This window comes from Homo sapiens, chromosome 7, assembly GCF_000001405.40.
Source record: "Homo sapiens chromosome 7, GRCh38.p14 Primary Assembly".
Classification (NCBI taxonomy): domain Eukaryota; kingdom Metazoa; phylum Chordata; class Mammalia; order Primates; family Hominidae; genus Homo; species Homo sapiens.
In genome coordinates, this window is record NC_000007.14 from 82,683,917 (window position 1) to 82,696,248 (window position 12,332).

At 36.3% G+C, this 12,332-nt stretch overlaps 1 long non-coding RNA gene across 3 annotated transcripts; it reads right to left on the reverse strand.

The window, feature by feature from the left end:
- Nucleotides 1-6,792: 6,792 nt before the first annotated feature.
- Nucleotides 6,793-11,960, reverse strand: LOC105375376 (uncharacterized). Of its 3 annotated transcripts, none has more exons than XR_927714.2 (3): nt 11,381-11,418; nt 10,634-10,757; nt 6,793-7,916 (listed from the first exon to the last, which is right to left on the reverse strand). It is a non-coding gene; the product is annotated as an uncharacterized LOC105375376 (long non-coding RNA). The 3 variants fall into 3 exon arrangements; XR_927713.2 differs by having other exon boundaries at nt 10,593-10,757; XR_927712.1 differs by lacking the exons at nt 6,793-7,916; nt 11,381-11,418 and adding exons at nt 11,633-11,780; nt 11,907-11,960 and having other exon boundaries at nt 10,059-10,757.
- Nucleotides 11,961-12,332: the final 372 nt, after the last annotated feature.

Here is a 12,332-nt window from a genome sequence, read left to right on the forward strand (position 1 = left end):
TATCTTGAAATCTAACTCCTCTCATTTCTGGAGCTCATATATTCAACTACTTCACTGACATTCTTGTTAGATCCTCTCTTGGTCAGTTCATTCTTATTAGATGCTATCTTAGTACTTTACTATAACAAAATACTATGGACTTGGTGGCTTATAAACAACAGAAATTTATTTCTTACAGTTTTGGAGGCTGGAAATCTGAGATCAAGATATCAGCATGGTCAAGTTCTTGTGAGGGCTCTTCTGGGTTGCAGACTGCTGACTTCTTATAGTCTCACATGGCAGAGAGCAGAGAGAGGAAGCTTGGGACTCTCATAAGGACACTAATCCCATTCATGAAGGCTTCATTCTTATAACCTCATCTAATCCTAATGGTCTCCCAAAGGTCCCATCTCCTAATACCATGACATTGGGGAGTGAGATTTTAACATATTCAACATATTAATTTTGGGGGGATAGAAATATTCAGTCCAGTACAGAGGCCTCACAGCTTCCTGAAAGTTCACACAATCAAAACTGAACAAATCCAACTCTCCAAATCTGCTTCAAAAATGAACATTCTCTCTCCAGATCTCCTTAAAATTAAACATTTCTTCTCCAAATCTACTACTCCTCTATTTTCCTTGCTTGTTATATTTAGATGCCTACCCAGTTCTTTCAAGTATTGCTCTTTAAAATATTATTTCATCCCTCTCAATCCTGGCTGTAGTGTCATGGTGCTGGAGGTGGCTGCTACAGCGGCAGCATCCCTGTTCAACTGGGGAGACAATTGCTCCCTCAGTGGCTTGGTTTTGTGTTATAGATTTGGGAGTTCTTTCTAAAAGTTCAAGTTAAAGCCTGCATCTTCAGCTTTCCAAATTACCCTATTAATACAAAACAAATAGAGATTTAATTTTACTATAACAGATTCTCTGCAACTGGATCTTTACCAATATAAACGACCAATATAATTTCCTTCTAATAACACTTGTTAGTTTTCATCACATTTTTTTGGTTGATGTGTCCATTTCTTCTACTTGACTGTTAACTACCTGAGCATGATATTCCTGCAGTAGTACACCTAGTAGATATTCAATATTTATAAACTGAATGCATTCACAAGTAAGTGGTATGTGCTATACAAAGATAACTTCATAATAACTATCTTTTCCTCTATGAAATATTTAACATTATGCTTAAAATATTAATGAAAATGTGACTTCAACTCAGTATGCTAAAAATATCTTTTAATAATAGAAATTATCTTCCAAGACTACATTTTTCTTTAATAGTTGTATCTCATTTCCAAATTTTCTTTGATGAAGAAAACTACTTTTGTTGTTGTCCTAAAAGTTTTCATGCATGATTTCATGTTCTTTGTTGCACCTGAAAATAGAAATTGAAGTTATAAAGTTATAACTTTAAGATACATTGATGCTGTCAAACTGAAGGCCATGTAATTTTTTCTTTGCATTCCTCTGTGGTTCTTAACATGTCAAGGATGACTAGTCACTTTCATTAAGCACTATGACCTGGGTATGAAAATCCAAAGATATTACAGAGCTTGTCAAAACAGCTTAGCTCTTTTGGCCTCTTCTGTGCCACTTATTTTAAAGCTCAGGAAATGAAAAGCAAAGAAAGAGTTTTAAATAATGACAGTTATGGTTAATAATTATAAATGATAAATTATAAACGATATTTAGTAGTGCCTATGTAAAATAAAGTCAGTTTGGAATTTGGGGTGCAAAATTAAATGTCTGCAGGAATGGGGCAGGTTATGTAATAAGTGAAATGGGCTAAATTGGACAAAATGAGTTGGGGAGGATGGAGGGAAAGGAGATTATATTCATGGTCTAAAGGGGCTGGTACTATGCAGGAGGAACAAATTGGTGCCTTGCAGACAGATAAGCCCAGTGTGGCAGATCTGATTTTTAAAAGAGAAAACAGAAATAAAGAGTTTGCATGGATCATTCTGAACTGTAAATATTGCCAAATACAAATAATTTACAAACAAACATAACTAAAATTTTGAGTCAATGTCAGCTCACGAGATTAGGTGCCAAGTCTAGGTTAGAATCTATTAAGAGGAGAACACTTCTTCACAATATGACTTCCATGTAATACATTCATATTACATTTCCTCAGGAATAAACATTTATTGTTAACTACATACTTATATTTTTACAAAAAAGTAGATTTTGGTCAATGATTTCTGAGTTTTTAATGTTTAGATCACCATTTAAAAACCTAACTAGTATTTTAATCAGTCATATTGAATGAATGAATAAATGATTGAGTGAATGAATGCTATAGAGGTAAGAAGGTGAATGTGAGGTAAAGCCTCATCATTGTTCTTTTAAAGCATGGATCTTGAAGTCAGGGACCTTACAAAGCCATTGGAAAAAAAATGAGTATCTAAACAGAAAAGTAAATTTGATGTCACAAGCAATCAATCACTGCAAATTAGTAAAATGTAATCATTACACTTAGACTAGGCAGTGTTTTATTAGTACATCAAAATAAGTCTGTTCCTAAGGGAAATAATGCTAGGGATAAATAGATAACACAAAGGAGAAAGTAATTCACAAAGCTGTAGATACATAGGTGTATACTTGTGATTTTACCTAGATGTTTGCTACATATCCATTAATAACTTTTATATTTATTACCAACAAAATGAAAAAAAGACATCAGGTTACTCACTCAGCTGTGTAGTCAACTTCCTGGCTTCCAGTGACAGCTTCACTGCTTGTTAGCTGAATACTTGAGTTAAATACTTGGTTTAACTCTCAGTTTCCCCATATCACAGGGTTGTTAGGAAGATGGAATGAGAAGTAAAGAGCTTGGGACACGGAATGTCACATTGTAAGCACTGAATACATATTAGCTCTTATTATATATTTTCAAGCACCTCCCTTAAAAAGTATAGCTTGATTGACTGATAGACTGTTTCTTGGTTCTCCAAATTTTTTATCTACTGAATGAATATTTCAAGTACTAAATATTATGTCAAGACTGAGAGAAAGATGAGCTTCTATCCTGGAAGTGCTCAATTACTAGTAGAGGATATAGAAATGCATACATGCCAAAAATTCAAAACAATGTGATTTTTTTCATAGAGGTTATTTTTTTTATTTTTTATTTTTTATTTTTTACAAAATATTAAGAAATACATGTGGACCTGGAAGGGTTAAAAAAAGTTTGACATAGAGGTGATATTTAGGCTAAGCAAGTCCTGTAGGACAAGCAGAGGTTTTTTCCAGGTGGAGAAAAGGAAAGAATTAAGTTAAAAAGGAAACAGTAGCCGTGCACGGTGGCTCACGCCTGTAATGCCAGCACTTTGGGAGGCCGAAGTGGGCGGATCACGAGGTCAGGAGACCGAGACCATCCTGGCTAACACAGTGAAACCCTGTCTACTAAAAATACAAAAAAAAAAAAAAAATTAGCCAGGCGTGGTGGCAGGGGCCTGTAGTCCCAGCTACTCCGGACGCTGAGGCAGGAGAATGGTGTGAACCCGGAAGGAGGAGCTTGCAATGAGCCGAGATCGCGCCACTGCACTCCAGCCTGGGCTACAGAGCGAGACTCCGTCTCAAAGAAAAAAAAAAAAAAAAAAAAAAAGGAAACAGCACCAAATACTGTTTTCTCTGAAGAGCATATTTGGTGCAAGGAATGGGAAGTAGTTGTGACTCAGTGAAGTGTAGGAAGTTGAGAGGCCTGGGTTATCCCAGATTAATAACATGTTTTATCACAAAATACACACAAAAAAGGATTCTACAGTTAGTGGGATACCAAAACAAGTGTTAAATATAATAAAATATTAGCAAGTGAAAGCAAATACCAAAAACAATGAAGTCAATGAAGCTTCACACTCCAGGCTCCACTTTCTTCTCTCTCCAAAATATACAGCACGATGTATCACATTATTACTCTTTCTAATTACTTCAACCTTTTCTTCTGTAGCAACCTCCTAAACATTTTGGAGTCTTGGTATAAGCTGAATGTTCTTGCTTGAGGTTAATACTTAAGATGTACTCACTGGCTCCTCATCATTTCAGTTTGAAAATTGATTATAAGCTTTTGTTGTTGCTATCTATAGTCATGTCTTACTACTCCAAGAACACTTAGAAAAATGCATTAAACATAGTGATTATTAAAACGAATATACCTGAACTAGGCTAATAAGACCTCTTTAAAACCATAATTTGCACAGATGGATGTTCTATCTTATGTGGACAAAACTTATTATCTAGCTTTTTACAATAATTTCTGCTTTTTAATTGAGGTTATTGTCCTAAATACTACCAGCTCACATACGGAAATTCTAAAAGGGACTAACAAGTCCGCTTCTTACTTCATATTTGGGAAAGCTCTTTGGAGGATTCTGTAGATATGAAGAGAATCCTAAAAAGTTGTATGAATTGCATTTATCTCAATCCATTATGTTTATTTTTTACTTATCAGAATGTTCCCTATCAAACATAAACTAAAGGGAAATAAGTCTAAGTTTTTCTGTGAACACCCAAGTACTGCTATCAGAATAAGATGACCTAATCATTATCTCAAAGGCAATTTGTGAGGATTAGCAGCGAATGTTTTTTTGAATTGCGTATTTGCCAAAATAATTCTGTTTGCTGTGTATATCCTTTTAGAGATCATTCTTTTTTTTTCTTGAATGAAAATCTACTTTTCCTGAAATTGAAATTGCTGAGTACAACCTACAATATAAAGTTTTATAAATATTCCATTCAGATTTCTCAAAAGATTTAGTTGAAATTTTACCTATGATGACAGATGGGATAAGAAAGACAGGGCAACATTCTTTACTCTACGTATATTCTGAACAGACAAGATTTATGTTCCTGTTTTCTACGAAGGACAGAGGATGCCAGGCATCTCTCATAAATCTGTTTACATTTGCTGTAGGATGGATATCACAGCCAATGTTTGAGTGCATTAATTTGGGGTTCAAAAGAGTCATTTTCATTCAAAATGTGAAAAACATGAGATGATGAAAGAATGATTTTAGTGGTATGCTGGTAAACATTTGAAAACTTGCCCCTTAGAAAAAGTTTAAAAAAAAAAAAAGCGCCCGGATTTGTGGCATTTTCTGATTTCCTTACTGTAAGTACTTTCACTATTTCCTATTTTCAAGTCACCAACATGATGTCAACTGGCTTACAAATTCCTAAATTGGTTTCCAAGAGTCATTATGAGTTGGCTTAACACACCAGTGACTAGAACATGATATTTATTTTTACCAATCAATTTCAAGCTCATTAATGACATGATCAAAATAATTACAGTTCATTTTTAAGTGAAAGTGGAAAATGTTGCTGCATTTTTCCTTTAATATAGAAGAAAAAATATATAAGTAGCTTTTGGAAAAATGGCACGAAATATCTCTATTTATATTGTAGGTTTTTTTGGGTGTGGTCTTCCTGCAAGCACCATTTTACTTTGAAATTTATTAGAAAAAATAAATCATAGAAATTAGAAAGTGAATGGAAACAGTTTTTCTCCATTTAATTTCATTACAATGGTACACAACAATCTCTTTGATTAATGTTGTAGCAGTTTGTGGATTGATCAGAATAATTCTTATCTATAGACAAGGCCAGGAGTATCAAGATGCTAGTGTATAAAATATATTTCCCCAAATATGTGTAATGCCTATACAAATTACTATTCGTAGTATATTTTAATACTCTTTCAAATCAAAGGAAAAACAAAAACATCTGTTAGAGAGAAAAAAAAGCCAATCATATAAACAGAAAACTTCCATGAAGTAAACTCCATCATTATCATCATTTTATTTTATAATTTTTAATTTTTGTGGGTACATAGTAGGTGTATATATTTATAGGATACATTAGATGTTTTGATACTGGCATGCAATGTGAAATAAGCACATCACAGAAAATGGAATATCCATCTCCTCAAAAAATTTATTTGACTCCACTACTTTTTCTGTTCTTCTAAATTCCTTGGTTAAGCTGTGGAAAAAGATGTTGAGTACCTTTTCATATGTCTGTTTGCCATTTTGTATGTCTTCTTTTGAGAAATGTCTATTTAAATCTTTGCCTGATTTTTAATTGGTTTATTAGATTTTCTTCCTCATTAGCATCATTTTATACTTAAGAAAACTGAAATACAGAGAGGTTAAGTAATCTGTCTAGGGTCATGCAGCAGGTAAGTGTCAGAGCCAGCACTCAATGTCCTTTTGATACCGCTACCTACGTAATATACCTTTAATATTTATGGTTTAGAATTAACTGTGCATCGGATGGGCTCTTTTGATTGTTACCTGGAGAGACTTGCTCAGGTTTCCTAAACTACATAAGAAAACTGCATAAGAAAACAGGAATTATATTATGCAGCCAGGTCTCATTGAGTCCCAGAAAAGCTGCACACGCAACTTTCAGTGAAGAGACAAGAATTGCTAAAACCATACTTCATAAGGTACTGCAACACCATTCTGAATTCAGTGCAACTGTGGTTCTCATGTGATCTTATTCCCCCTCTACAGAAAATGTTCATTGATCTTCTTGGGGTTCAGAAAAATGATATCTCAAAGTATGGTGCTTTTGTATGCTGAGTACTTTAAAGAACATTGGAAGGCTTAAGTAGCAGTCTCAGAACCAAGGTCTCACTGACCTTCTCCTGCCCTCCTATCTCACACCCCTCATTCTCTCCTGAAGTGAATCTTGAAAACCAGAATTCCTCTTCCCCAAAGTGGTCATAGAAACTAGAATCCCTTTGCCCCATAGCAAGCCATAAAATCTAGAAATATTGCTCTAACCTTCCTCCACCTTTTTCTCTAGGAGCTGACTATAAAGAAATTCTCTGACCTACCTCTCTTTAATAGTAGGTCATAAGACCCTCAATCCAGATGGGTCCTGCCCCATATCAAGAAGGAAGAAATGATACCACAGACAGCCCAAGAGGAATCCGTACAGCTTTGCTGAGTTTCCCTACTCGGTCTATTATCTTTAGGTCTTCCCCTTTTGTCCAATCACATTGCTACACAGCTGTTCATGCCTCACCAAACCCAAGCATAAAAATAGACACTTTTCCCTGAGTCTTTGAGTCTTCATTTCTGAAGGCTTTAGTGTCACATAAAATTTTGAATAAACTGGTGTGCTTTTTTCTTGTTAACCTGTCTTTTTGATGCAGGATTTTTCTCAGTCACTTCACCAGCTGGGAACCGCCGGCCGGCGACGCCCCCGCCTGGGCCTTGCTTGGCCATGCTACTTGCTGCAGGAGGTGGCCCACCCACTCAGCCCACCCAGGCTGTGCCTGGCTTGCACACTGGCTCAGCCCGCAGCTGGGCCAGGTGTGCCCCAGCCCATCTGTGTTATAGCTCATATTATGGGTCTGGTGATTCCTGAGTTCTTGTCCTGTGTCCTAGAAAAATGAGGATATGCTGACAATTGAAGGGTGAGGAGGGTGGAGAAGAATTTTATTGAGTGACAAAACAGCTCTCAGTGGAGAGGGGTCACAGGAGAGCTTCCCCACCCGAAGTCAGGTGGTTTCTCCCCCGGTGTGGATGAGTCTAGGGTTTTTACAAGCACAGGATGGGGAGGGGTGGGACGAAGGTAGCATTGGAATAGGTAACTTTTGGTTAGTTTAAAAGCATTATTCAGAAAGAACCAATTGGGAAAGAGCAGGCAAACAGGAATAGAAGATCTCACTCTAGGTTGCAGGTCTCGGGCTGATTTTGGATTGAAGGTGGGGTTTCACTCGGGACCTTCCTCTGTCTACTTAGGCATTTGTCTACCTCCTGCTGCTCTCATTTTGTTATGAATGTTGGCCATGCCCCTCATGATGGAGAGGAAAGGTATTAATCTCTACTATTTCTGATTCTACAATGTCTACTATTCGTGTTCTGGAATTTATTTGACTCCACTACTTTTTCTGTTCTTCTAAATTCCTTGGTTAAGCTGTGGAAAAAGAAATTCTGATTAACTCAGCAAATTAGTGTTGCACCTGTGTAAGCAGAGCTTTATGCTAAGCCATCTTTATGAAAGATACTAGATTATTCTTAAACAAGGAGAGAGAGGAAGTAGGAGAAAGCAAAACTTCAAGTTTGGGCAAATAGGTGAAAATACAGGAGAATGAAGGGATAATGATTTCAATATTGGTTGACTTTAGTCTTAGGTACTACAAAATACATAAGAAGGTATTCGTTCTATTAATTCTATTCATTTACAAGAAAAACTGAGTGGTCTGCAGGTCAGGAAAACCCATTAGTGAACCATCAGTGTACTTGTCATGTTTAAATCGAGTGTCTCTTAGCCATGCCATAACTTAGTCTCATATTCTTTTTTTATTTAAAAATTGTGTCAATTAAATATTTAAATTAAATCCCAATGCATTTTGAGTGTGAAGTTTTAATTAAAAGTCAGTACACTATGGTTTTCTCATGTAAATTTTTTGCTTGAAGGCTGCCTGGCAAATAAAAAATGAATAAAACAGAAAATGTCTTTGAGGTAAACTCAGCAAAATCATAGATGCAGTTCCACTGAGTACTGCTGCATTGAAAATCCCTCAGAGATAGAAAAAAAATAATTGCTATCTGCAATACTGCACATTCCCTAAACTACGCTCTTTGAAGCAGTCATTAACAGCAGCATCCTCAGTGTATAGTGTTTTATGGTCTCACTGTGTGTGACAACATTAAGCATCATTAAAAAGGGTAATTAGAATAAAAATGCAAAGTTCCATACATCTTTTGAAATACATCACATATAGTCTGTCCTTGAAACAAAAAAGGGCATGAAAATAAAGTTAACTAACCTTTTAAAATACGTGAATAGAATAAGAATGAAATCTTTAGATTGCTTTAAAAGACACAATTAATAACTCTAAAACAAAGTGCTAAAAACAGAAAATTTCAGTGCTTGAGCAAGTAAAATAATGTTGTTAAGAACTGAACTGGTAATAGAGTAGAAGAGTAAAGAAAAACAAAACATATAAATGTCTCTTTGAAGAAACCATAGGATCAAGAAGAAAAAATTTATTGCTAGGAAGCAAAAAAATAGAAAAAATATTATAACTGTCCAATCTAAATACAAAACACCCATATAATGACATATTATGTAAACATTATCAGATATGCTTTCAAAGTGTAGTTACAAAAACAATCACATTGTCATGGTAAAATGGCAAGATTTGAGATACCCAGCTCTATAGAGAGAATTATTTAAAATCACAAAATCAAATGTTTAGTCTCACTGTACATCATCCAGAACTGTTATCTGAAAAACACATAGTAATTTAAAAAATTACTTAGACTGAGTTACAAAATTACAGTGGCTCATGCTTGTAATCCCAGCACTTTGGGAGGCCAAGGCAGGAGGACCGCTTGAGCCTAGGAATTGAGACCAGCCTGGGCAACATAATGAGACCCCCATCTCTGTAAAAAATTTAAAAACTAGCCAGGTATGATGGTACATGCCTATGTTCCCAGCTACTCCAAAGGCTGAGGTGTGAGGATAGCTTGAGCCCTAGAGGTTGAGGCTGCAATGAGTCTTGATCACACCACTGCACTCTAGCCTGGGTGACACAGTGAGACCCTGTCTCAGAAAAAAAAATAAATAAATAAATAAATAAAAATAAAAAAATACTATTTCGAAGAATGAGTTCATTTTTTACATGGTTTCTAGCATATTTTTTTCCTGAAATAAAGCAAATGCTGACCAGTGTAAGAGTTCTACAGGGATGCTGGGTGTGAAATGCAAATTTTAGGGGAAAGTTTGTCATCTGTGACTCAAGAAAAGCTGATAAAGTCAATGATAATGAGAATCCTCTGCTCCAGCATAGGGAAATGGAAGTTGCATTAAAAAGGTAACTCTTGTTTTGTTCAGGAATAACGTATGCTTTAGCTTTGGGTCTAGGGTGAACTGAACTGTTGGGTGTATTTTTCCTTATTATACTTAGGTTTGATTTCAATCATACTTTCTGAAGAACCCCCATTGAAAATTATAGTTAAATGGATGCACTAATTTTTAAAGAGCTTTTTATAAAATATATCAGAAACATGAAAACAAAAACTTAAGTTTTAAACATTAAAAATGCCATGTTAAACATTAAAAATTAAATAACTATATTTCTTAGTTATTAAGAAAAATAACTTATTTCTTAGTTGTAGGTTGGTCATCATGAGAAATACTCCCTAAATTGGTTCAAATATTGACGTGCCAGAGATGTTGATTTATGAATTCACAAGGTATTTTGAGATTGAAAGCCATGATTTCCACTAGGAATGAATTTACATTCTGCTTTAGGGAAACCAGATGACTTTCACTGCTTAATCATTCTGTTAAGTACTTCGTTAGTCACAACTTTAGCCTCAAGCCTCTATGGAGATTAGGGGAGCACACAGGAAAAGACTGACAAAGCTAAATTGAAAAGATTCGCGAAGTCTTGACTTAATATACAGGAACACTTTTGTTCCTTCACCAAATTTAAATTTCTAACTAGGATCATATTTTTACGTAAAAACTACTTTGAGCACTAAAGGATAAAAACAATTGACATTTTCATATACATATGGGGAAAAAAAACCTTAAACATGCCTCCTTCATACTTGCTAGTACTAGAAATCTTGGTCTTACCAAGGAAAATTTGCAAAGATCCTTACAAAAGGATTTCTTACATAAATCCAGATAGAGCCAAGTCATTTTGTCAATGATCAATGGTTATGCTTTCTTGTGGCACTTCCTTGTTGCTGCTGAACATCATGGTCTTCAGGGTATTGCAGATATTCCATGGGGCCTTTGCTAGGAGAATTGTGGACGAAGGACCAAAATTATGAGCATTATTTGGGAGCTTGTTTGAAATACAAAATCTCAGGTGACATTCAAGACCTTGTGGATGACAATCTGCACTTTAACAAGATCTCCAGGTAGATCATATGCACGTTAAACTGAGAAGCACTGTTCTAAACTTGTCAGGGTCGCACAGGTGCGAGTCTCACCTTTACAGTCTCTCACTTTCAAACCACAAGGATTTTCTAAGTACCATTTAACCCTCCCACTAAAATAAATGAGTCCTAGATTCCCTTCTGTGATTCAAAAAATTCTCCTTCTAAGTTGCAGCGAGCTAAGTTTCTGTCACTGGGAAGTAAGATGGATAATATTGAGGTACCTGGAAAGACAGACAAATGACTCTGGGTTTCACACACCTTCAGGTTACCATTACTTTTTTTGTTCAAGTACTTAAAATGTAGAAATATCTCAGACTTATAGAATTATTTTCCAGATGAAGGCCTCAGTTGGCCTACATGAACTATGAGATTCCTATTTCACTTCTAACATAATTTAGATGTTATTTTACTAAAAGAGAATCCCCTGCTAGGCTCTACTCCAAAATGATGTACATTTTGGAAGGATCATTTACTTACGTGATGAGTTTCTTCTTATTTGTTTGTTTGTTTATTTATTTTGAGACAGAATCTCACTCTGTCGCCCAGGCTGAAGTGCAGTGGCGCAATCTCGGCTCACTGCAAGCTCCGCCTCCCGGGTTCACGCCATTCTCCTGCCTCAGCCTCCCGAGTAGCTGGGACTACAGGCGCCCACCACCACGCCCGGCTAATTGTATTTTTAGTAGAGAGGGGGTGTCACCGTGTTAGCCAAGATGGTCTCGATCTCCTGACCTCGTGATCCGCCCGCCTCCGCCTTCCAAAGTGCTGGGATTCCAGGCGTGAGCCACCGCGCCCGGCCCCGTGATGAGTTTCTTCTAATGTTTCCTTTACTTAAGGAAAGCTTCTTCCAGTTTCATCACAATAAAATGTGTGGAAAGCCCTTTACAGTAAAATAATATGTTACTATATAAACAAACTGAGTTTTAATAACAGTGCTGTCAGAGGCATTTGAACCAGACTGACTCCGTCTTGAATAGCGGTTGGGTAAAGTAAGGCTGAGACTTACCGGGCTGCATTCCCAGAAGGTTAAGGTGTTCTTAGTCACAAGATGAGGTAGGAGGTGGGCACAAGGTGCACGTCACAAAGACCTTGCTGATAAACAGTTAGCGGTAAAGAAGCCAGCCAAAACCCACCAAGATGGTGACAAAAGTGACTTCTGGTTGTCCTCACTGTTCATTATACGTTAATTATAATGCATTGGCATGCTAAAAGACACTTCCACCAGTGCCACGACAGTTTACAAATGCCATGGCAACTTCATGGAAGTTACCCTGTATGGTCTAAAAAAGGGAGGAACTTTCAGTTCCCCAGGAATTGCCCACCCCTTTCCTAGAAAACTCAGGAATTATCCACACCTTGTTTCATATAATCAAGAAATAACCATAAAGATGATCAACCAGCAGCTCAGTCTGCTGCTCTGCATATGGAGTAG